We start from the raw sequence: 26,919 nt of genomic DNA, 5'->3' as shown, positions 1-26,919 counted from the left end.
AACAGGGAAGTCATAGATTTCTAATTTTTTTGTCTTTTATGGTACTTTGGATTTCTCATTTAAGTCAAAGGTTTGTATGGAACGAAGACTTACTAAGGTAAATCAATTTTTTAATTGAAAGCTGTGATTACAAGAAGTTAATTACTTTGCTTCTCATTCTATTTGGTCCTTTTGGAATGAAGACACCCATAGAATGCACCATTCTCTTCCCTAGTTCCCCTCATTTAGACTTGCATCTTTTGTATTACTGTTTTTTTAAGAGATGAGGTCTCACTTTGTCAACCCAGGCTGGAGTGCAGTGGTACAATCATAGCTCAGGTAGCCTTAAACTCCCGGGCTCAAGCAATCCTCCCTCCTCAGCCTCTCAAGTAGCTGAGACTACAGGCATGCACCATCATAACTGGCTAATTTCTTAATTTTCTGTAAAGATGGGGTCTCGCTATGTTGCCCAGGCTGCTCTCAAACCCCCAGCTTCCAGTGATCTTCCTGTCTTGGCTTCCCAAAGTGCTGGGATTACAGACATGAGCCAGTTGCACCCAGTCACATTTTTTCTAAATATTTGTTGACAGCTTACCATGAGTAAAGCTTTGGTCTGGAAGCCTAGCATACAATGAGACAGGACATACAGAAGCTACACTCAAGAGGCTGAAATTACTTAGAAAGCAATAAACATAAGATTTACAAAAGATCTACCCCTTGATGTTGTCTGTTGGATTTTGCAGATTAGAACTAATTTTCTGAAATATTTCTATTATATTTTTGGCTTTAGATGAGAGCTGTACAAAAAAAAAACACAACAACAAATGATACAAAAGGTTAAATTCCTGGTTCCACTGTCATTTGGAGCTAAGTCACTATTGCTCAAGACCTCCATTTTTACAACTGTAAAATTGAAATATTAATACTTGTGTTAGGATGATTATTAGAAGACTAAATCAGGCTGCAGGTAAAAGGGCTACAATCAATTTTTTGAGGATATTCACAAGTACTGTAAAATTGACTGCTACACCTGACAATCCTAGAGAATAAAAGAGATTATGAAGAGGTATCTTGTGGTATGCATTTATCTTCTTTCTGCCAACCGAGAATTTCCAAATCATTCAAAATCACACCAGACCATTATATAAAAAGTTGCAAAACTTGTATAGAGAGTTACCAAATGCCATTCCCCCAACTTCCCCTAATAACACTTTCTAAATTTAGTTGCTAAATGCCATTCCAACTTCCCCTAATGATAATCATAGTATTGAAATAATGACATTTATATTTCGATACAATAGAATTAAAGCATCTTCGGGCCTTATTCAAATCTCACTAATTGTTCCACTAAGGTCTTTTTTTCAGTCTAAGATCCAATCCAGGTAACCAACTTGTACCTAGCTGTGGTATCTCCTTGACGTTCCAATCTGGGACAGTTCTTCAATTTATCTTTGCCTTTTGTGACTTTGATGAGTTTGAAGAGTCCAGGCCAGTTATTTGTACAGTGTTCCCCTAATTTGGATTTGTCTGATGCTTTCTCATGATTAGATTCAGGTTATGAATTTTTGGCAAGAATATCACAGACGTGTCCTTGGGGCCATCAGGAGCTACATGAGGACAACATGTCTCATTATTGATGATGTTAACTTTTTTTTTTTTTAGTGTGTGATTTGAGGTGGGTTTTATTATTATTATTATTATACTTTAAGTTTTAGGGTACATGTGCACAACGTGCAGGTTTGTTACATATGTATACATGTGCCATGTTGGTGTGCTGCATCCATTAACTCGTCATTTAGCATTAGGTATATCTCCTAATGCTATCCCTCCCCCCTCCCCCAACCCCACAACAGTCCCTGGTGTGTGATGTTCCCTTTCCTGGGTCCATGTGTTCTCATTGTTCAATTCCCACCTATGAGTGAGAACATGTGGTGTTTGGTTTTTTGTCCTTGCGATAGTTTGCTGAGAATGATGGTTTCCAGCTTCATCCATGTCCCTACAAAGGACATGAACTCATCATTTTTTATGGCTGCATAGTATGTTAACTTTTTAATGTGGTTAAGGTGGTATCTGCCAGCTTCTCTATCATTTGGAATTAACAATTACCTTGTAGGGAGATATTCTGAAACTACGCAAAATCCTGTTTCTAATCAAACTTTGCCCACTAATTTTTGTATCCACTGACAATTCTTGCCAAAAATAATTATTACTGTAATATTTGCTTAGTGATTTTTCTATTTCTATCATTCATTTTGTACTTGGTGATTAAAATTCCACTGTAAGAAAAAGCTGTCCCTTCTCTATTTATTCATTTTTTAAATTTCAGTCAGCATAGACTGCAGACATTTATTTTATTCAGTGGCTTCTAATTCATTACTAACCAAATCCATATTCGAGCAGTAAAAGCAAAGCTCCCTAGGTATATTCTCAGCTATCAAGAGACCACTACCCTGAGATCAACTACTTAATGGTCTTTAATTTAAAGTTAATTTTTGCTACTTCTTCTTTGAAAGCTGTGCTAATTTATTTATTGTTAAACAGAAATTTCTCTCTCCTATCCAAGCACAAAAGACAACTTTTGGTCCTCATGATCATTCTAGAAACTCTTTCCAAAGGTGGGGGAAAACACCCAAACTTTAATTCAAAGATAAAATAAATTCAGTTTCATGTTAATAGAATAAGAGCAATAATATCAGAATAATGACAACAAAAGCTACTAATTGTCCACAATCACTATTTTGTTTTGTTTCATTTCTGATAAAAATGAACCTTATGATCCTTATTAAATACTCAATTCTGGCCAGGCAAGGTGGCTTACGCCTGTAATCCTAGCACTTTGGGAGGCCGAGGCAGGTGGATCACGAGGTCAGGAGATTGAGACCATCCTGGCTAACAAGGTGAAACCCCATCTCTACTAAAAATACAAAAAATTAGCTGGGCGTGGTAGCAGGCGCCTGTAGTCCCAGCTACTCAGGAGGCTGAGGCAGCAGAATGGCATGAACCTGGGAGGCGGAGCTTGCAGTGAGCCGAGATCGCACCACTGCATTCCAGCCTGGGCGACAGAGCAAGACTCTGTCTAAAAAAACAAACAAACAAAACAAAAACACTCAGTTCCTACTCAGCTGAATGTCTTTGCTTTTCCATTTCATCCCTAGCAGAGCATATCCAGGGAAGCCAGACCACACCTACACACGGGAGTGCTGTAACTGTTACACACAACTGTGATTTAATCTCTCTAACGTCCACAACCAAGAAGAAATGAAAAGTGAGGCACACCTGTTAATCAGTATTAACCACGATCATAATATTTAAACAAGCATCACCATCTACACTAACACTGACCTTACCCCCTCTCAGAAAAAAACAAAGCAAAAAAGGGAGGCAGAAAGTGAAGCCTGCTCACCACAAAAGTATTTATGCCAAAAGTGGTGTGTGTTCCCATATGAAGTGTTAATAAATACAATGTATATTGCTTTTTAGTTAAGAAAAAAAGACTCAATTAAAAAAATGAAACAGAAATTGGGGATAGGCTTTAGAGAACTGCTACCCATCAGAGTCCGGAAAGCCCAAACAGAAGGAAAAAGCGCCCAGACTTTACTTAGGTTTGGTCCTTCAAATCATGCTTCTGCTACAGTTGCTTTAAAAATTAAACAGGCTGAACAAATAATAAAACATATCAGAACATCTGGAGATGGAATTGACCACTAGTAAGTGGATCATTACAACCTGTCAAGGTTTGGGCAATTTGGGGGATGCTATGACTTGCAAAATCCAGGGCAGGGGAAATAACACTCACTGTGCGGATCAATGTCTAATCACATTAACATAGGAACTAAAAATGTTTTCACAACGCAGAGAACGAGAGCTGCTCTTCCTAACAGAGGAGAAAAACAGCACATTCACCCATTCACCTGAGTGAAACTAACAAGCTGAAGTCTCTCACCTGAATACTAGATTAAAAATCCTGATTGGAAACCATATGTGGGCATCACTGTCTGAGAGGCAGAAGGCAAGAAATGGAATTCCAGGGCCACTGATCTTCGCAGTCCACTGTAGAGGGCAGCTTTCACTGGTCTTTGTTTCACATGTGCTATAGAAGTCTCTGTACATTATCTAACCAAGATCATCTTTCCATATATCATCCCGTCTTTTCTCCCTCCACTCAGTCATAAGTAAAAAGGGACATATCCATACACTCATGTGACACATTCAACTCACTGTGGCTTAGTTTTCTATGTGCCATTAGTTAAAGAATTTTCTTAGAAACCTTATTACCCACTTATACAGTTTTAAGTACATTTTAAAACAAAGTTTTAACTACTTTCTAAAATGTGATTCAGCCAGGAAACTCAAAAATATCTATTAACTCTGGCTTGGCGGATTCCTCTAACCCCACCATCTCAAAGGTTTACTTTTCTCCAGCCAACACGTATTGCAGCCAAAGGTTATTACAGACACACTCATCCCTTCCCATTCAGATCCTTACACCACAGTAACAGGAATATGGCCTCTTGCCTGGGCATTCTCACCCTTCCTTTGCCCTAGCTTCCCACCATGATAATGGGAAGGAAGAATGTTAAGAGATGGCAAGTGGAGGCAGAGGATTTGGGAAGAACACCTGGATTCCCTATCACTGTAGCCAACTTTCCCAAAGCCACCCAACTAAATATGCAATCTGAGTAAAAACTGTATTTATTTTGCAAACATAGCTTCAAATTCCCCAGTACTCGATCCCTCCTCCACCATACCTCCACCCCAGGTCTCCAGAATGCCCTGCCCTAACTCCCTTCTTACAGAAATTCTGAAGCCTCCATTCAGCTGCACCCACCCTTTCTCTGGTGCACACTGCGGCACTAGCAGTAAAAGGCAGGCTGGTCATTTCAGTGCTCCAGGGCTTAGAAAGAAGATTAGTGAGTGAGAAGCTCTTCCCTGCCCTCCACTGACACCTAGCAATTGGAAGAAGTTAAAACTCTCAGGCCATGTAATGGCAGGTACTATTCAAATAGGAATATGCACTCACCACTCAAAATTCGCACAGGCCAGACAAATGGTTCAAACTTTCCCAGGAAGTGATGGATGCTACTTCAATAACACTACATGGGAACTGCTTAAATTAGACATCACCTTTTTTAACAGGGCTACTAACTTCAAGCAAGGGCTTCGCCTGAAGTAATGCTATTGGAATAAACAATCTGTGTCCTGCCTCTCATAATTTCATGTTGGACATGATTACAAGATCAAGTACATTGGAAAAGCTCTGCAGAGCAAAAGCTAAAAGTACCAGATGATGCAATAGAGGAAAGTTTTACTTTTCCCTGGCTCCTAGTGTGTTCACCTCTAGCCACAAGTCCTCCTGAGTCACTGTCTCTCACCAGCTTCCATGACACTGAAAGGGAAGCTGCCGTTTTCTACCATTTCCTATACAAGGGAACAGTAGAGTCATCCCTCAGTATCTGAAGGGCACTGGTTCCAGGACCTCCCGCAGATACCAAAATCTTCAGATGCTTAAGTCTCTGATATAAAATGGGGTAGTACTAAAATATAACTTATGCACATCCTCTCTCCTGTATAGTTCAAATCATTTTTAGATTACTTATAATACCTAATACAATGCAAATGCTAGGTAACTCATTATACTATATTGTTTAGGGAATAATGACAAGGAAAGTCTGCACGTGTTCAGTAAAAATATTTTTTCTGAGTATTCTCCATGGGCAGTTGAATCCCCAAATGCAGAACCCATGGACACTGAGGTTCAATTGTACTTGAACTGGGCATTAAGTGCGTCACTAAGGAGGCTACTCTTCATAGATAAAATTTAGGAGGCATAATCACAGCTGAGCCAATTTGGAAAAATCAAGAAGGCAGGTACATGGAGCACAGCCAACTCTGTAAGCTAGACCTGCACAAGGAAGCACTCAGAGGAAAGAGCTTACATTCCTGCCATCCTTTGAAGATGAAGAAATGTTAGACTTAAATGCATTTGGTAAGACAGAGAAGAATGAAGAATCACGTGTTGTAATATAAATAGCAGCAAGACAAAGAGAACCAGGCTTAATCAGAATTATTTTTAACAAGCAAAGTATATTTATGTGTTACCTGTGTAATTAAGCATTTTTTAAAAGGCAGAAGGAAGTAGTAGTCATTGAGATAGAACCTAGTCAAGCATATGTGAATGAACCCCATTGTGGTATACTCAGTAATATATAGATTATAAGCCACATGTTATAACTGTATGCAATAAAATCTTGATCTAAAGCAAGTTAGAAATGAAGGTGGTACAGTCCAATTCATGTGTGTGGTATTTACTTTCAAAGGAGGAGGCCTATGTAAACTGATGCAGCTACCCATATCTCCAATATAATCTTCTATTCCATTTTCAACTCAAAATGATTATCAATTACCACTACCACGTATTTTTATCACTGAAAAAGACAGTAGCAAGTTGATAGAGAACATTTGATTCTTTTTTTTTTATTTTTTATTTTTTTTTGAGATGGAGTCTCGCTGTGTCACCCAGGCTGGAGTGCAGTAGTGCAATCTCAGCTCTCTGCAACCTCCACCTCCTGGGTTAGGCTGTGTAAGCCCTGCTGGGATTACAGGTGCCCACCACTATGCCTGGCTAATTTTTTTGTCTTTTTAGTAGAAAGGGGTTTCACTGTGTTAGCCCGGATGGTCTCGATCTCCTGACCTCATGATCCGCCCACCTCAGCCTCCCAAAGTGCTGGGATTACAGGCGTGAGCCACTGCACCTGGCCTCCTTTTGTAATTTTTAAGACTCATTATGGGTTTGTCTGGTTTTAATGCACAAAAGTAAAATGCTTTTATAGTAAAACTGGATAAAGAGAACCAGAAGGACAGAGAAGGGATAGAGTGGGGAAAGGATAAGGAGAACAAAGGAGGGGGGAAATACAAAGAGAAAATGTCTATTCAAAGAAAATGAAGCCAGATGTGGTGGTTCACACCTGTAATCCCAGAACTTTGGGAGGCTGAGGCAGTAGGATTGCTTGAGCCCAGGCTGGAAAACATAGAGAGACCCTCTCTTTAAAAAAAAAAAAAAATTAAAAATTAGCCAGGCATGGTGGTGCACATCTGTAGTCCCAGCTACTTGGGAGGCTGAGGTGGGAGGATCGCTTGAGCCTGGGAAGTTGAGCTGTGATTGTACCACTGTACTCCAGCATGGGCAACAGAGGAAAACCAGGTTTTAAAAAAGAGAGAGAGAGAGAGAGAGAAAGCAAGAAGCAAGAAAAAAAGAAAATGAGAAGACTACTTAAGCTCTGCTCTAGAGAACTGCAAGACAGACACTATAGCCTGTCCTGATCCACTTACCTGGGCACACTGGCCCCTTACATTAGATACTCAAAATGTCAGTGCCTAGTGGCTACCATTTACTGAAAATTCTAAAACACTATGCATTTGAACTTTCTGCACTGATGGAAGTATTTTATTCTGTGCTGTCCGGTCTGGTAACCATTAGCCACATGTGACTGCTGAACACTCAGCAATTACTGACTAGCATGATTGAACTAAATTTTTAATTTCATTTAAATCAGTCTAGGTTTAAATAGCCACATGTGGCTAGTGGCTACTGGATTAGTCAGCACAGGTCTAGAATACAGGAATCCGATAAATGTCATGGACTTTTTTTGAAATTTCACCAAGCTATTCACTTATGTTTAATAGATTTTATGTGCATGAATTCACTAAGATTTCATAGCAGACACAGCTCCTGTTGCCTGCCCCACTTCTTGCATTTCACTTTTATAATTATCTGACTCGTTATAAGTTGACTGTCTCTCTGCTGGACCAGAAGCTCCATAAGAAGAGCACTAGCGGGCCTTTCTTATTCTCCTCTCCAGCCCAGCCTGGAATGGGGCCAGGCACACACTGTGGTCTTTATTAAGACTTGCTGACCCATCAGACACCTGAGAAGCAAGTCAAAAAGGAAGTGTCTTTCCTGGAAGGATTATGCATAGAAAGATACACCCAAATACCCAAGACTCATTTTAAAAACAATTCTGAAGTGACACAGATCAACAATATTCTTAGTAACTAGTCCAATTTCTCTCCACTATAGCTCTTTTTACCCTACAAAAGTCAATAATATATCTCTCCACAGGGTTTACATACTCGATATTACCTTTTTACCAAAAAAGTTATTCCATGATTTTCTTAAATCACTTCTAAACAGATATTCCTTTTATACTTCCCTAAAAAACGTTATATCTCACTTGTAGCACTCAGCCACTAATCAATAAATTGAACACAGGATGCCCAGACACAAATTGTTAAAAACTGTCTATACTAACTTTCTGACTGCTTCACTTACAAAGCAAAGGATATATATGTAAAAGAATATATATTCATAAACAAAGCATGTACAGTATATATATCTATACACACACACACATCTACATGTGTGTCTGCACACACACACAAATTGAGCTTCCAATTATTAAGTCCTTTATCATACATTCTATCTACCTACCTAGTTCTATGCCCCCATTCCCATTTTTTTTAAGAGATGAAATCTCACTCTATTGCCCAGGCTGGAGTGCAGTGATGTGATCAAGGCTTACTGGAGCCTTGACCTTCAGGGCTCAAGCAATCCTCTCACCTCAGCCTCCAGAGTAGCTGGGACTATAGGCATGCACCACTATGCCTGGCTAATTTTCTAATTTTTATTTTTGTAGATATGGGGGTCTTGCTATATTGCCCAGGCTGGTCTCAAACTCCTGAACTCAAGCAATCCTTCTGCCTTGGCCTCCCAAAGTGCCAGGATTACAGGTGTGAGCCACAGCACCTGGCCAACCTAATTCTACTCAAAGCCACGTAATTATGGCAGTCAGAAAGCAATGGATTAGAATCCTATCTCTTCTACTTTCTAGATATGTGGTTTTGGGTAAGTTACTTAAACCTTCTGGGCCTCAGTTTCCCTATCTGAAAGCAACACCCAATTTCATGAGGTCTGTTGAGAGGATTAGGTAGTATACTGGCAATGAAAACAACTGGGGGGTGGTGGTGCCTGGTGCAAAGCAGGTGTTCTGTGTTTGCTAAATGAACAACTGATTTCATCTGTTTCTTGGGATGTCGTTCAGAGGCTTACAAACACCCTAAGAATAAACAAGAGTTCATTATATTCTAATTTAAAGTGAGCAGAGTCTGAAGATTTAAAGGCAAACCAATAACCGGTGATTGAACAAACGAGGGGATATGAAAAAAAAAGAAAAAGATTTCAGATGCCTGCTACAGATCAATTGAAAGGTCTCTACTCTTTGGAAATGGTTCAACTCAGGCTATCATTGTGGAATCACAATAGTTTATATTTTCCATAACTGCAGCTAATCCATGGTCTATTTATCTTTAGGGTATTACAATTTACAAGACCATTCACTATTCAGCCTCTGTATGTGTCCATTCTCACACTGCTATGAAGAAATACCCAAGACTGGGTATTTAATTGACTCACAGGTCTGCAGACCTGGGAAGGTCTCAGAAAACTTACAATCATGGTAGAAGAGAAAGCAAACACATCTTTCTTCACATGGCCGCAGCAAGGAGTAGTGCTGAGCAAAGGGCAGGGAAGCCCCTTATAAAACCATCAGTTCTCAGGAGAACGCACTATCACGAGAACAGCATGGGGGAACCGCCCCCATGATTCAATTATCTCCACCTGGTCCCACCCTTGACACGTGGGGATTATTACAATTCAAGGTGAGATTTGGGTGGGGACACAGAGCCAAATCATATCAGCCTCCTAACTTCACATTTGGTAAATTTGATTTCTGGTACTTTGCCTATTCTATAGCTTCTTCAACACTCAAGATGGTATATGTAAATAGAACTGAGATAAATGACAGCTTTAACAGTTTGTATAAAAAGTCCAAAGGTAAGCTGCAATAAAGTGCTCCTTTAAAAAGTTAACCTCTGTATTTTCTTGCTAGACTCCCTGGTAGGGAAATACATAAAGACTCAAGATCCTAATAAATAACATAAATAGGAAAGAGGGGAAGATGATGGTAGTCATTCATACCTCAGCTTCCTGCAGGGTCCCGTGGTTTAGGCACACCATGTCAGGGCAAGTGATGGGAGACCCACATCCTTCTCGGATTGCCAGCTGCATGTACTGTTTCAGGCACTGGAAGTTAAGAAAAAAAAGACAATTGCCCATTCCATTACAGTAGCAGAAAGGTTACATAACAGAACCACCACTGTGTCTTCTTCCTTAATTGGCTGTCCTGAGGCTCTTGTACTCAAGAAACATAAGTTATCACAAGTGTGAATACTAAGAGCCATCACTTTGGAAAGAATGCAGAGACAGGCAATTAATTATGTATGACTTCATCTTAAGAGTTTATTCAAGTCAGATTTCCCTATGCTCACACATTTCAGCCACCATAGATCAGGAAAAGAAAAAACACTATTTTCTAACCCTAAAGGCCCCCTCCTTTAAAAAAAAAAATATGAGTTCCTAATTCCATTTTTACCTAGTGGTCCTCTCCATCAAAGTTTACCCAAAACTAGAACAGAACGCTGTGACCCTTGCACTGAGCTAGCCACACAATCAAAGTAAGCTTAAGGCAGTGACATTTCTAGGACCACGCTTAAAAGCAAACATACCTGGAAAAGATAATGTCAAATTTGGGAAAGTCAGGTGACTTCCTGCTGACTGGGGACAGCAAAGATAACTTGCTTCCCAAAGACAAGAGACACATTGTCCCAAAGACATTATCCCAAAGACAATGAGACCTCAAAAATATGGGCCTTGGTGGATGCCATGTTAAGGAGGTTGGAGTAGGAAAAAAGGCACTGGTCCCCTGGGGAAAGAAGAAATTAAATAGAAAAAAATAAACCCAGAGAAGAAATTGAATAGAAAAAAGAAACCCAGAGAAGAAATTGAATAGAAAAAATGAAACCCAGAGAAGACATTGAATAGAAAAAATGAAACCCAGAGAAGACATTGAATAGAAAAAAGAAACTCAGAGAAGAAATTGAATAGAAAAAGAAACCCACAGAAGAAACTGAATAGAAAAAAGAAAACCAGAGAAGAAACTGAATAGAAAAAAAGAAGCCCAGAGAAGAAACTGAAAAGAAAAAAGAAACCCAGAGAGAAGAGGGAGAACACCAGGAACAAAGTTGGTCTGCTCACTGCCTGTTGTGTCTGGATGTTGGACAGTGGGTGAAGATGTGAGTCTGACTGAAAAGTTAAGAGAGGGACTGATAGCTTTATGGAAACCTGTAATGCCTCACCCTATTCCTCTCTATGCAACTGCACAAGAAATTGAAGGCAGTAGTTCCAGGAAATAAACCTCTAAGTAATTGGTTCTTCAACTTCTACTAATTTGCTCATAATCGGTAAACCTTTTCTACATGCATGACCAAAAAAAAGTCAAGTTCAAATGTTGAGGAGTACATTCCACCAAAAATACTTAAGCCAGCCACTGAAGCAACGACTCTTACAAAGTGGTGATTATTTACAACTGGGTTTAGATTTTTCAGATTTATACATTTATGTATCAACTTACTGCATTAAAAATATTGCTGTTGCACCAACTTTTTATAAAAGCATGAGCCAAAAGTAAAATTCTAGGGTCAGAATATTGATGATGTAATTGTGAAATCTATCCCTGTTATTGACCATCTTTACTCATTTTTTCCACCTGAAAATAAAACTAGTATCACTATTATATTACTTCAGAAAACTAATCATGTATTTATCTGGTTATAAATAACTTACAATGTACTGATGAATCAATGACTAGGGCAAACCATTTAAACCAGACTTGTATCTCTTCAAATAGTTAACAGTTTTTTTCTCCAAGGAGTTAATTTTTTCTATAATATTCATCACAGCAAAAACTAGAAAATAACCTAAATACCCAAAATAGAACACTGAAATAAATGTTGCTAAATTTATGCGATAGAATGTGCAGAATCATGAAAAGAGTCTTCAAATGATATTTAAAAGACATGCACAAATGCTCATGATTTAGTATAAATTCAGGAATAAAAGGTATCTGGGAACAGGGATCCTCTGCAGTCACTCCTCTCTTGCACTTGACCGCCATATAATTACTGTGTTTTAACCCTGACTTCCTTGTTCAACAGAAGGGTGAAAAATCACTTGCTCTAGGATTTACTGTGCCAAACATGGTATCCAGCAGCAGCAGCAGTGGGACATAGAAGAGAGCAGCAGCAAGGAAATATGGGGAAGAATGTCAATGGGCAGGCGAACACCCAGGGGAACAGTCAAGGCGGCTCACCAAAAGGAGTGTTTTGCCAGGGGACAAATGAATAAACAGTGTGAAAGCCTGTCCATCCTGTTCTGCTGCTGAGGACATCTCAGCCTTCCATCAGCCACACCTGTTCCATTGTTACTGCCTTGATCTTCCCACTGACCCCCAGCAGCCACTTAAAGAAATTTAAGTAAAAAGACTGAAAGATATAGTCTCCAGGCTCAAGGGGAAGGTGTTTGAGGAAAACAAAGTGAACAATGCAAAGAACTTCAGATCCTAACACCTGGGTGGAGGGTCCACTTTACTAGGTGACAATGGGAAAATGACTTAGCCTATGACCTAGACTTGCTTTCCTTAATTTAAAAAGTAGGGACAATAATACCTGTTATAGTTACCTCACAGGTTTTAACACACACACACACACACCCACACATACACACATACACGTGAAATTTATATATGGAAGCCCTTCATGAATTTGCAAATTACAGAATAATAGGTCATGTTATTACTCCTCTTCTCCTGGTCTTAGACTTTCCATCAAAGACTTTGTGGGAAAATGTTAATCCTTTGACCTTCTGAGATATCCTTTCTCCACTCCCTGCAAAGCACCAGTTAAACCACTTAAGGTGGAGAAGCTGTGTAGACAGAACAGATATTTGTAACAGAATATCCCAGGTGCCTCTATGCAAGGCTCTTAGAAATATTTGGGTCTACAGAATAAGTTTAGCATTAAATAGGAACTAAAGATACTAAGTGAGTCCTTATAGGCAAACACATTCATTTCAAATATAACTGCAAATGTGTTAAGTTGAAATATACACCTTCCCAAGAGCTTATAATGGATGTGCCTCTTACTAATAATGTAATGTTCCTAGGTACACTACAAACCACAATATATCAACTAAATGAATTTTGAAACTTCCTATAAGCACTCTCCTGGCCACAATATTATATGACCCACGATTTTGGGTGAGAAGTTAGACCTCTGTACACTGACTCCAGGGTTTAAGTACACATACCCTTTGTTTTTAATGCTAAGAAACACTGGTTCAAGATAGAGATTTGTAAGGGCAGGTTGCTAAGTAGTCCTACAGCACAGGCACTTGACATTCCATCAGTGTGGGCATGCATTTCTATTCAAAGGCAAAGAGGGAAAACAACCAGCCCTAGTTATTGCTTTTTACTGAATTTTCAAGTACCCCAGGCTTGTTATATGCTGCCCATTAACTTTCACTAAAACATTTAATCTCGAGTGTCCCTCTCTTCTTCTGTATCTCTGGCTAAAAAGTGCAAAATAAGTGAAAACGTTCACATGAATCCCATGTGCATGTCATACAAAACACAGGTAAATGGTTAACAATTCTAGGGGGGAAAACTGGCATCTAGCTTATAAAGAGAGAAACAAAGAAAATGAAAACAAATTATAGCAATGCAACAATGGCAAAATAAAATAATCACTATTAACAAAGAAAACTACCACCATTTAGTCACATTTTGAAAGTTACATTTATTAAGTAGCATTCAACAGATATTTAAATAAGCAATTTTCTTAACAGGTAACAAATTGTAAGGAAAATGTTTCAAATAGAACATCTCAAAACCCAAATGACCCAAGGGAAAAAAACCTTTTTCTTTTGTATAGTCAACATTTTACTTAGTTTGGTAAAACACAGAATTATTTTTAGGCCATGAAGGGTCATGCAAAATAATAAGGATTGTTCGTCAAACTCACTCCACAACCTTTAAGGATTCATATGGGATCTAACCAAAAATGTAACCAAACACCTGGTGAACCAGACGACTCATATTGTCTCTTCCAACTCTGAGAGTCTATGAATTGTATGCAATGGAATCTACTCAGAAACAGGTGTCTCCTAGACCCCTTTCAAGGGTATCAGATTCCGATGTACCAAAGTCACAGGCATTCTTCATATAAGGTGTTCTCACCTATTATGATGGACATGGCAAAAAGGGTCACAGTGTTAAGACAAAGCTACTATGTACCTACCCAAGAACAAATCACAGGAGTGGGCAGGGAATATATGTATATTTTTAAAAACGTACTATATAGTTCCTCATTCTCTATCACTAAATTATGCCCTACCTAAAGTTTTTTTTTCTAAGAAAAAATAAAGCATTATAATCTATAGCCAATGAAACTGGATTCCAGCCATGTAGGTTGAAGCACAAGCTCTAAAGTCTCCTCTACATCTTGAGCCAGTCATTAACCTCTCTAGCTACAGTGCTCTCATTTATAAAATGGGACAATATCACCTGTCTAAGCTGCTCTCAGGGAAAATGGAGAGTCCCCCATTCACTTTGAAAAGTGAAAAGAGGTATGCAAACGTAAAGTATAATTGGAGAATGGAATAGATGTTTCTGAATAGGCAGGCATGCAGAAATGAAAGTCCACAGACAAATAGGAACCTTAGAAAAGCTTCATGAGGGTGAGGTGAATAGGTAAGAGAATAGGTACTGTTGAGAGGAAGGAGGTAATGAGTGCCATTAGTTGATTTTTTTTTTTTTTTGAGACTGGGTCTTGCTCTGTTGCCCAGGGTGCAGTGGCACAATTATGGCTCATTGCAAACCTCAAACTCCTGGGTTCAGTGATCCTCCCACCTCAGCTCCTCAGTAGCTGAGGCTACAGATGCCTGCCACTACACTCGACTATTGATTGATTGATTGAAATTGGGTCTATGTTGCCCAAGCAGGCTGGTCTCAAACTCCTGGGCTCAAAGAATCCTGTCGCCTCAGCTTCCCAAAGTGCTGGGATTACAGGTGTGAGCCACTGCAACTGGCCCATTCATTGAAAATTTAAGTTGACTTCCAGGATCTTAGATGCTTCTGGATGCAGGCGCTGGGGTCCTGTGGTCAAAGGAGGACTTGTCAGCCCACCTGGCTTGAAGGTGAGTTGGTGAACTATTGACCTAGGTTTTCTCATCCATAGCTCAGCCAAGTGGGAAGGAAGGTGATGAGGGGGAATGTGCCCAAAGGCCAAAGCCCAGACAGGTCTTGAGTACCTGTTTTGCTTTTTATCACTCCAGGTACAATGCAAACACTGAAGTACATATTCCATAAAATGTAGACTAACATTTCCCTGCCTCAGTGCACAATGACATCACAATGTTTCCAGTGTGTTCTAAATAACATCTCACACTGAGAACAACATTCTGCTTATTCCACTTCAGACTATGATCTGTACACATGATCCAAGAATAAGACTGCCTTTGTTAGATGCTGTTGAGTTAAATTATTAGCACAATTCAAGATAGTATCTCTCCCTACTCAAAAGCCTATCCAACACACCAAAAGCATCCTGGTTTGAAAATATTCAGACAAATTAACAACCTATAGCTAGGCAGGAAGCTGTTTCCTGGTATAGTCCGATCCTAAAATTTTTCTTACAAAACCCCTTTCAGATACCTTGGCTTTTTCACCAATATGAGATTACTTAGGTGACCAACCTCCCCCTTGTAGGTGTTGGCCAACCATATAGGACATGAAAGGACTGATAGGAAAACCTGGCACCAAATGATTAAAGGAAAAAGCACCAAATCAAACAGCAAGCCATAAATAAGCACAGTTTAAAAGAGACCTTGGTTTGACAGTTCTCGTCCCTCATCCCTTTTCATTCCAGAAGCCTTCCCTGCCTCATCCCCTAGTGTGGCAGCACACCCAGCCCGTCTGCCCTCATAGCACCCTAAGGCCCAGCTCGCACTGTATTTTTCAAACTGCGTGCAAAGGTGTATTCTTGGGAACCCAAGAGTTCTTCATGGCAAGATTTTCCCCATTTTATGTTTATTCAATGCTCTTAATAAAAGCATGCCTGGAACCACCTCAGGAAATTTCCTGTTTCCACCCAGTGTCCGTGCTAACCCTTGGTCTGTGGTGCCACCCTGCTTTGCCACGTAGGGGTGCTATCATTGTCACAGGCAAATGAAAAAAAGAAGAGAAGAATCTGGGCCCAGTGAATGCTGAACACGTCAAAATTTTTAGTGATTCCAACAGAGAAAGGTGACAAGATCACTGAATTACCACTTAGTCATTGGAACACATCAAACTCAGAGCCTAACTGGAAAAAGCAATTTACCCAAAGTTAAACATCACTCATCACATTAATGTTAACTTACATTTTATTGGTCTGTAATTTTATTTTATATATATGTGTGTGTGTGTGTGTGTGTGTGTGTGTGTGTGTGTGTGTGTATAATATATAATTTTTTTTTTTGAGATGGTTTCTCACTCTGTCACCCAGGCTGGAGTGAAGTGGTACGATCTCAGCTCACTGCAACCTCTGCCTCCTGGGGTCAAGCAATCTTCTCACCTCAGCCTCTGAGTAGCTGGGACCACAGGTGCGCACCACCATGCCAGGCTATTTTGTATTTTTGGTAGAGACAGAGTTTCGCCATGTTGCTCAGGCTGATCTTGAACTCCTGAGCTCAAGTGATCTGTCTGCCTCAGCCTCCCATAGTGCTAAGATCTCAGGCATGAGCCACTATGCCTGGCCTTATTGGTCTGTAATTTTAATCAATATTAAGTTTGTATAATTATTGTGGTGTTCTTATTCTTTAAGAGATATATGCCTAAATATGCTTATATACTACTTAGTATCATGTTTGTATAAGTTTTCGTAAGACTCTAATAAAGGAAATTTTAAAATAGTTTGATATTAAGTTCCAATTCTTTTCCCCTTCAAAAGGAAGCCACATAAAATCATCAAAAGGAGGGAGAATGGACTGATTCTCAATAGCAGTGAGGCTGGTGGTATTGCCTTCTCACTTGGGGACATACTAGAATATCAGACTATCCAGAAGGAATTTTATAAATGATGCAACCTCCCCCGCTCCCCAAATTCTCCAGAAGACTTGGCTTTTCCTCCTCTACTTGCCAACCTTTCTATGATGACCGTAGGTAACACCAGATGTTTATTGTACACATGAGCAATGTAGCACGCCCAGCATGCTGCATTGCAAATGACTATCAACTTGCCTGCCTCCTCTATAGCCTAGAAGCTCCTTCTAGATCTAGATTATATCTGCTCCTCTTCATGTCCCCTACAAGCACCTAATCAATCACAGGACCTGGCACATAGTAGACACTCAGGCTTCTCTGAGAGCTGGAAGCCTGAATCCAGCACTTACTGGTTGAGTATCCCTAATCTGAAAATCCAAAATCTGAAATGCTCCAAAATCCAAAACTTTTTAAGCACCAATATGGTGCTCAAAGGAAATGCTTATTGGAGGATTTTAGACTTTAGATTTTCAGATTAGAGATGGTAGACTAGTAAGTATAATGCAAATATTCCAAAATCAAAAAAAAAATCAGAAACCCGAAACACTACTGGTCCCAAGCATTTCAGATAAGGAGATAGGGGATACTCAGTCTGTGCTCAACTTTGTGGCCAAGCTCCTTCACCTCTGATAACTGAAACATATGAACCCACCCAAACACACATCCATCCTCTGTTCTTCTTTTCTTGACACATAGGAGCCAACTCTGCTTTTCTGGTTCCCATCTCCTCCTGCCTTTCAGGAAATTTACCTATTCATTACCTGTTTTCTTTCCTATGTCTTGAATTTTGTCCTGTCTATACTTGAACATGTTCAAAATATCCTAATCAAAGAAATCAAAGAAAAGTCATAATAAAACAGCATAGAACAGCCCTCTCTCACTCCTCTTCCTGGCTGTATACTGCCTTCTTCACTCCTCAACTCTTCACAATCAAATGTTTGAAAGAGTTGTCTTCCCTCACTCCTTCACCAATCCCATCCCAACTCCTCCCTGCCACTCAACTGAAGTGGCTCTAGGTCACTGAATCCAGTACACATTTCTTCCTTCCCAACCTCTCAACAGCAGTATCACACACAGCTAACCACTCCCACCTTCCTGAAACCCTTTTTCCCCTTGTCTTCTGGATCCCATACTCTTCTGGTTTTCATTCTTCCTCTCTAGTCACTCTTTCTCAATCTTCTGCATTTTCCTCAACTCAACTTTTAAATGCTGGAATTTCAGGAAAGGACCTAAACTCTCTTCTTTCTACACTTTCTTCCTGGGTCGCCTCATTTGCTATATAGAACCAGTTGTGCTAGTCCACTGCCTATTTGCTCTCAGGAGAATATATCCCAAAAGGCCAGTGGTTCCCTAGCAGAGAGCAGTGCCCCCGAAGAAAATGATCTAAGCCTGGTATGTTTTTATGGACAAGAAACACTGGAAGATATGGGACACTACTGGGAAGGGTATCCTTAATAAAAAGCCATAGGCAGGAGGAGGAGGGGTGGATGGACAGAGGATAAGGAACTTCAGAGATAACATTCGCCTGCCTTACTATTCAACTACCTTACTGACAATGTTTCTCAAACTTGAATGTCCATCCAAGTTATTTGAGGATCCCATCAAAAATGCAGATTCTGATTCAGTGGATCTTGGGTGGGGTCTGAGGTTTTGCCCTCCTTGTAAGTTCCCAGGTCTCGTTGGTGCCACTGGCACACAAACCACACTTGTAAGTACCAAGACCCATGTCAAAGATTCTCCACATCAGCTTTTTAATAGAATTATCTGGGAAGGTTTCCAGAAGTCCAATGCCCAGGCCATACCACAGACCAATTAATTCAGACTCTCTAAGAGAAGGATCCAGGTGTCAGTGTATATTATATATATAGCATTATTATATATGATATGTAAATATTATATATTTTATATTATGTCATGTTTTATTGAGATATAATTCAGATATCTATAACTGAGATATAATTCACGTACCCATACAATGCACCCATCTAAAGTGTACAATTCAGTATTTTTAGTATATTCACAGTGTATAACTATCACCAAATTTGATTTTAGAACATTTCATAATCCCAAAAGAAACTCTGTGCCCATTAGTACATGCTCCCCATTTCTCCCCCAGATCCTCCATGCACAGCCCTAGGGAACCACCATTTGACTTTCTGTATGTATAGATCTTCCTACTCTCTACATTTCATATAAATGGAATGATACAATATATGGTCCTTTGTCAATGGCTTCACTTAGCATAATGTTTTCAAGATTCATACATGTTGTAGCATGTATTGGTACTTCATTTATTTTATTGCTGAATAGTATGCCATTGTGTGAATATACCACATTTTGTTTATACTTTCATCAGTTGATGGACATTTGGGTTGTTTCCAGTTGAGTGGTATTATGAATTATGCTGCTATGAGCAAGTTTTCATGTGGACATACATTTTCGTTTCTCTTGGATATTTACCTAGGAGTAGGTATGGTATATGGTAACTCTATCTTTGCCTTTTGAGGAACTGCTAGATGATTTTCCAAAGCAATTGCATCATTTTCCATTCCCACCAGCAGTGTATGAGAGTTTCAACTTCTTTAAATTCTCATCAAAACTCGTTATTTTCTGTCTTTTTTATTATAGCCATCTTAATGTGAAGTCGAATATCATTGTGGTTTCGATTTGCATTGCCCTGTTGGCTAGTGATTTTGAGCATCTTTTCACATGCTTATTGGTAATTTGTACATCATCTCTGAAGAAGTCCCTATTCAGAACTATCTATACTTTCATCTATTTGTAACTGAGTTATTTGTGTTTTCATTACTGAGTTGTAAGAATTCTTTATATATTCTAGCTGTATCCCTTATGAGATATGACTTGCAAATATTTCCTCCCATTCTGTGAGTTATCTTTTAACTTTCTTGATGATGTCCATTGAAGCAAAAAGGTCTTTAATTTTGATGAAGTCCAATTTATCTGCTTTTTCTTTTGTCGCTTATGCTTTTGGTGTCACATCTAAGAATGTCTTGCCTAACCCAAGATCATGAAAATTTTTCTATTTTCCTATGTTTTCTTCTTCTAAGAGTTCTATAGTTTCAGCTGTTATAGGTGTATGGTCCATTTTTGTTAATGTTTGTCTGTGGTATGAGGAAGATCACAGACATCTTAATTCTTTTGCAAACAGATATCCAGTTGTCCAGCACCATTTGCTGAAAAACATTTCTTTCCTCTTTGAATTGTCTTGGCACCCTTGTTGAAAATCAAATGACAAAAAATAAGATTTATTTATTTATTTATGGACTCTCAATTCTATTCCATTGATCTATCTGTCCATCCTCATGACAGTATCACAATGTTTTGATTACTGTCGCTCTGTAATCAGTTTTGAAATGAGGAATAGAGCTCTCCAACTCTGTTCTTTTTCCAGATTGTTTCACCATTCTAGGTTGCTCAAATTTCCATAGGAATTTTGGGATAAGCCTAGAATTTAGTCGGAATTTTTACAAGAGGTGTGTTGAATCTGTAAATCCATTTGGGGAGTACTGCCACCTTAACAAGTCTTCCAATCCATGAAGATGGGATATCTTTTATTTAGTCTTTTAAAATTTCTTTCTAGAGTATTTTGCAGTTTTCAGAGAATTTTCTACTTTGGTAAATTTATCCCTAAATATTTTATTCCTTTTAATGATATTGTAAATGGAATTATTTTCTTATTAATGCAATTATATTATTTCTTACTAGTATATGGAAATACAATTGATTCTGTACATTGATCTTATATTCTGCCACCTTGCTGAACTGTTATCAATATTTTTAAACTCTTGAAGTGATTCCCATTTGCAACCAAGTCTAAGCACCACTAGTTCAGTACCACCCATGCCCTCCATTCTAATCAGGGAAGATACTTTTATGCCCCTCATCACTCTTTTCTACCCAACCTCTCCATAGAGAATACAAGCATTCAGCTAGTTCCAAAAGAAACAGCAAAGGAAGCTTAAGGGGGAAATTATATATGCAAAATTTAAAACTCTGATTGAGAGCCTTTAAATACTTTAGCCCAAAATAGTGCCGTTACATTTTCTGGAAAAGATTACTAAGATCCACCTTGTAAGTTTGAGGACAGTCATTCAATATGGGAGATTAAATCTGGACTCCAATCAAAAGTACCTCCAGTTCCCACCAACCAAGAGTGATCAAACACGTCTATCTTTATCTCAAATGATCATGAAATATCTAAATTAAGAAACTCTATGACAGAAATAGCTCTGAAGAGAAACCCATTGGAAATGCTGCAGCCTGGTCCAGGCTTCACAAGAAAGCCAAACAAATTTGCTAAAATGGAAGAACATTCCAATCAGAGCAGTGAACTGGCACTAGCGTTGGAAAAATCTGCTTCCAATTTGAGTAATTCAATCACTCATCCATTAACCTTTCAGAGGAGTTTCCTTTTGTCCCACTTGTGCTGCCTTTCTTAACAGAAGGAGGCCCCACTTTTTATACTAATCCCAAAGAGATCCCTCTGGCCCAGGTGCTATCTTATGACACAGTATGCTCAGAAAAGTAACTGACCATTCCAGGAGAAAGAAAACAAGAAGGCTTGCCAAGTTTACATCCTTCTACTTTCTCCAAAGAAACATTAGCCTTCAGAACTGTAAGCCCTCAGCTGACACCAAAGCCTTAGCACACAGACCCAGCACAGGCAGTGAGAATAAGCATACCACGGATTCAGCATAGCCAGATTCCACTGAATTCATTTGTCATTTCATTCTTCCTCCTACTATTAGAGTCTCTGCTTGAACTGTTAGCGCTTCTGAATCTCTAAAAGTGCACTTAAGGTCCCAGCAACACAGAAAAAAAAAACAAAACCCAAGTTAGTAAAGGTTCAAGAAACCCCTTCAACCATGAGGTACGGCTATGCTAGTCACCTGAATAAAATATAACCATTCAACCCAATCTAAGCAAACACATTGAGTACTCACATTCCACTAGAGAATGCAGAATGAATATTAAACTACACCATGCAAAGGACAGCAGGCTAAACAGACGGAGAGATATGTGATAAAGCAAGCAAAAAGTTAATGTTAGAATCCGCTATGATTTGAATGATGGTGTCCCCTTCAAAATTTACGTTAAAACTGAACCCCCACGGGAGGTGATTAAGTCACGAAGACCCCACTCTCATGAATGGAACTGGCACCCTTATGAAAGGGCTCAAGGTTAAAGGGAGTGCTCTCTTGCCCTTCCATCTCTTCTGTCACGTGAGGACACAGAATTTCTCCCCTCCAGAGGAAGCAACAGTAAGACGCCATCTTGGAAGCAGAGAGCCGCCATCACGGGACACCAATCCTGCCAGCACGTTGATATTGGACTTTCCAGCCTTCAGAACTATGAGTAGTGGATTTCTGTTGTTGATAAATTACCTAGTCTCGCGTATTTTGTTATATCAACACAAAAGGACTTAGGCACAATCTAAGAGATAGTTGGTATACGGTCAGCCCCCCGTCCTCAGATTTCACATCCATGGATTCAACCAACCACGGACAGAAAATATATTTTTAAAATCACAATAAGAAATACACAAAAAATACAGTAGAAAACCCATTTATATAGATTTACATTGTATTAGATATTATAAGTTACCTAAAGATGATTTAAAGTATATGGGAGGATGTACATAGGTTACATGCAAATACTACACCATTCTATATAAGGGACTTGAGCATTCATGAATTTGGGTATCTTTGGGGTGGGGAGTGGGAAGGGGCTTGGAACCAATATCCTGAAGATACCAAGGGATAACTCTACAGGTATTTGTTGTAAAAATCTTTATCTTGTTTCATAACAAACTGTTGTACAATTTTTTCCATCTTTTTAAAAGTTTTTGTTCTTTTTCACCTTCAAGAATAGAAACAGGATGTTGTACAATATTTTAAAACTAAAAGCAAAAGATAAAATTTATACCATTCATCAAATCTCAGATTTTAATACTGCTTAAAAGCAGAAATCCTATATTTTAAATAAAATCTGTCTCAGTATTTAAACCAGTTTGAATAAATTATAATGAAATAATATCTTAATTAAAACTAATCATATATATACCTACTACGTATCTATACAAATTAAAACATTTTTAAATAAAACTAGTGGTAGCAATATTAATAACTATCTGAATTTTTGAAATTTTAAAAGAATATTAACACTGTATAAGTGACAGAATAAAGCTAACTCATCACCAACATTTTTTCCTACAGGATATAACCTACAAAGCCAGCATGCAAAATAGCTCATATTAATGACCCAAAAGTTGGGAAAGAGTGACGCTTAACAGTTTCCTCAAGAAGATATTATTTCTATACATGGAATGATAGGAACAAGGGACATCAGTTAAGAATAGACCTAACCCTTAAACTTCCTCTTGAGCTACATTACAAAAGAGAATCTCTTAGATTTAAGAGAACTGAACTCTGAAAAAGTAGAAAAGGTTGGACAATGACTAGGTTGGTTATTAGAAATCTCATTTTATTCAAAATTATTTTGAAATAATGATATTCAATGACTCCACAGCAAAATCAGCATCTTTCTAATTATAAGTTACATTGCATCAAGACCACGACTATTCCTCACCTCACAATATTCCCCCGAGGATTTATCCTGCAAAACCTGGAATTTTTTTTAACATTTTCTAAAAAGCAAGTTTTTAGAAGTCAAGGGGCTTCATATTGAGTGGGCTTTTTTCATATTAATTGACATAATTTGAACCAGTCTTCCTTTTCTGAAGGTTATCAATACCATAAACCGTAAGATAAAGTTTTTCAAAGGCTAGACATCATTCCATATTAAAACAATCTTTAATTAACACATTACCTAGGGAAAGCAGATGTTAAGCTATAATATTTTTTTCCATTTGCAGAAAAGGTCTCTGTGCTCTGCAGTAACCCATGCATTAAACACCCTCAACACAGAAGAATCACTTGGAAACAACCGTCAGACTGAGGTCCTCTTAAGAACACCAGTAACTTCCACAGACACAATGCGCCTGGAGGGTGGGAGAACATCAGTCATTGAGGCAGAATGCCTGGCCTTGAACCTTGACTTCAGTTTCAACATCTGAAAATATGCTAAATGCACTGGGAACTTCCAGTTGTGTAAATCAGACCTCTGAATGTCTCGGCCTTGGTTTCCTCAAATAACTTACCCGAAATCACACAGTGGAAAGTTCACAGAACACTCATGTTCATGCTCAATCTCTAATATGAGGCCATGGCCACCACTATATTCTGATTACATACTTTCTGTTCTCTGAAAAACTCCTTGGATTTTTTAAACCAGTAGTTCTTTACATTTGTTTTGTACTGACTAAACTTTTACGTATATAAAATCAGTAGCCAGTTGTCAATTTTGCATTTTATAGGCTATTGTCAAGCTTTAGACATTTCAGGTTAAGATCACAAAAGCCAAATATGGGCCTTCATCCATTTTCATGCTAACAAAAAAAATTTAGGAACCACATACTATGTGCTAGGCCATACATTATATATTTTCACAGAGCTTGTTTTTATTTCTTCCAAACGACACTATGATGTAGGGATTAACATTACAGATCCTGGGCAAGTTATTTAACTCTGAATTGGTTTATCTGTAAACTGGAAGAGTAAATGGGGGAAAAAATAGTACCCTTGCATATTACATATTATATGAAAGGTACTCAAATGCCCTTGCTTTTCCTTCCGTAATTTTTTTAAACAGATGAATAAAATGAGGTTTAAGCAGATTGAAAAAATACCCTACATTCATGTAGTAAATACCTCACACATATTTTCCAGAAGAGTCAAACCAAAAAGACCTCCTTACTGTGGGTGGGAAATGATTCAAAACCATGGAGGCTTTCAGTTAACACAGAGCCATGTATTTCCATGGAAATGAGGCACTGTGTCTCACCTGATTCCAAGGGGTACACTGCATATCTGGAATCCACATAGATAAGCCTTATATAACCAATCTTTAATGAACTGAAATATACAGAAAATGGGATTTTAAAAAACTGAATTTTCTAGTTAACTCACCACCCTTTTTCAACTTGCCTAAATTTTTTAAACCTCCTTTACCTACTTAGTAACATTTTGTCACTGGACATGAATTTTTTTGTGTGATAAGGCATCTCCCTCAGTCTGAACACCACCATTTTTTCATTCATTCATGTCTTCTATGTGTAATATACTTTTCTAGATATGGCCCATTTTTTTCTAACTTGATTACTATTAATACCAAGGTATAAAATCAGTTGAAACTATACTGGCACTGAGCATACTGTATGTTTTTTAAAGATAGATTCATGAGATGAGCTTCTCTTACAACAATTTGCTTCCTCCTAAAAAGAGGAAGTATGGATTAAACCATGAGATATGTTCTTTTCACATACCAGATTACAGAAGGTGAAAAGTTGGAAAATACCCGGAGTGTCAAAAGAGAGGCCTCTGTTCCTACTCTGTTGGTGGAGTTGCCAAGCTGGTGCAACAGTTTGGAACAGTAATTTGGTAACACATACTGATTTAAAATGTACATCTATTTTGGTTAGGCAATTCTATTTCTAAAAAGTTATCCTAAGGACAGGTATTTTCACATTTATATAAGTAAAAAAAATGTATTCATAATAGCAAAAACTAGAAACAACCTTAAAATCCATTATTTAGGAGGGGCCCAGTTAAATAAATTTTCATACAACCATATCATAGAACACTATACAATACTTAAAAAGGAAGGTTGGTCTGTATATTTTTGCACAGAAACTTGTCCACAATGTACTATGTTTGTAAAACTCAAGTTAAAAGTATCTGTAGTTAAAGATCCCATTTCTCTATTAAGTGATGTGCGTAAGTACACAGGGAAAGAGTCTAGAAGAAAGTACAGGTGGGCTGGGCGTGGTGGCTCACGCCTGTAATCCCAGCACTTTGGGAGGCTGAGGTGGACAGATCACCTGAGGTCAGGAGCTCGAGACCAGCCTGGCCAACCCCCTCTGTACTAAAAATACAAAAATTAGTTGGGTGCGGTGGCGCATGTTTGTAATCCCAGCTACTTGGGAGGCTGAGGCAGAAGAATCACTTGAACCCAGGAGGCAGAGATTGCAATGAGCCGAGATCACACCACTGTACTCCACCCTGAGCGACAGGGCACAACTCCGTCTCAAAAAAAAAAAAAAAAAAAAAAAATATATATATATATATATATATATATATATATATATGAATCATGCACATGCTTTTTGAGGTTTTTTGGTTTATTTTTAAATTAGCATGTGTTACATTTATAATTAAAAATTATCTTCAATGTAATAAACCAAGAGAGCCCTGAAACATGATTATTTTGTACTTTAGGGTCCTATTTCTTCTATGAGTACTAGCCATGATTTTTAAAAATGTACTTTCACTGGGCACGGTGGCTTATTCCTGTAATCCCAGCACTTTGGGAGGCCGAGGCAGGCAGATCATAAGATCAGGAGATCGAGACCATCCTGGCTAACATGGTGAAATCCCGTCTCTACTAAAAATACAAAAATTCCCTGGGAGTGGTGGCACGTGCCTGTAGTCCCAGCTACTCAGGAGGCTGAGGTAGGAGAACTGCTTGAACCCGGGAGGCGGAGGTTGCAGTGAGCAGAGATCACGCCACTGCACTCCAGCCTGGCAACAGAATGAGACTCCGTCTCAAAAAAAAAGAAAAGAAAAGAAGAAAAAAAAAGAAAAGAAAGCTGACAGTATCCCAAATGGATAGGAAAAAAGAGAAATTGGGGCACAAAAATAATTTAAATACTCCAGGCATCAAAACTGCAGTCTGCCATACACATGTATCCTAAGTTGATAAGGACATTGTTCTCCGAGCTCTGCTTCAGCCTGCCATGGTTCCCTCCTCCTGCTCCAGCCTTGCCCACTTT

The 26,919-nt window shown here is 38.7% G+C and overlaps 1 protein-coding gene and 1 long non-coding RNA gene across 3 annotated transcripts in view, besides 1 other annotated feature; both read right to left on the bottom strand.

The window, feature by feature from the left end:
- The window catches only part of RNF144B (ring finger protein 144B), an 81,521-nt gene that overhangs the window by 31,173 nt on the left and 23,429 nt on the right, over window positions 1-26,919 (bottom strand). The window contains exon 3 of one of the 2 annotated variants that reach the window (NM_182757.4): window positions 10,013-10,117. The exons of the other annotated variant lie outside the window; for it this stretch is intronic. Within the exon in view, the coding sequence (NP_877434.2) occupies window positions 10,013-10,117 (105 nt within the window). The remainder of the gene's footprint in view (window positions 1-10,012; window positions 10,118-26,919) is intronic. 2 annotated transcript variants of the gene reach the window in all.
- LOC124901271 (uncharacterized) lies at window positions 13,706-16,407 on the bottom strand. The gene is made up of 2 exons (XR_007059487.1): window positions 15,239-16,407; window positions 13,706-14,165 (listed from the first exon to the last, which is right to left on the bottom strand). It is a non-coding gene; the product is annotated as an uncharacterized LOC124901271 (long non-coding RNA).
- Window positions 21,867-23,066: an enhancer, noted in NCBI's record as "MED14-independent group 3 enhancer chr6:18414863-18416062 (GRCh37/hg19 assembly coordinates)". NCBI's record gives its function as "activates an origin of replication core promoter dependent on BRD2, BRD4, P300/CBP and CDK7 cofactors, and independent of MED14, by STARR-seq in HCT116 cells {active_cell/tissue: HCT116}" and the evidence as "EXISTENCE:reporter gene assay evidence [ECO:0000049][PMID:35650434]".

This window comes from Homo sapiens, chromosome 6, assembly GCF_000001405.40.
Source record: "Homo sapiens chromosome 6, GRCh38.p14 Primary Assembly".
Classification (NCBI taxonomy): Eukaryota; Metazoa; Chordata; class Mammalia; order Primates; family Hominidae; genus Homo; species Homo sapiens.
The sequence above is the reverse complement of the archived record's forward strand: the minus strand, read 5'-3'. Positions and strand labels throughout refer to the sequence as shown.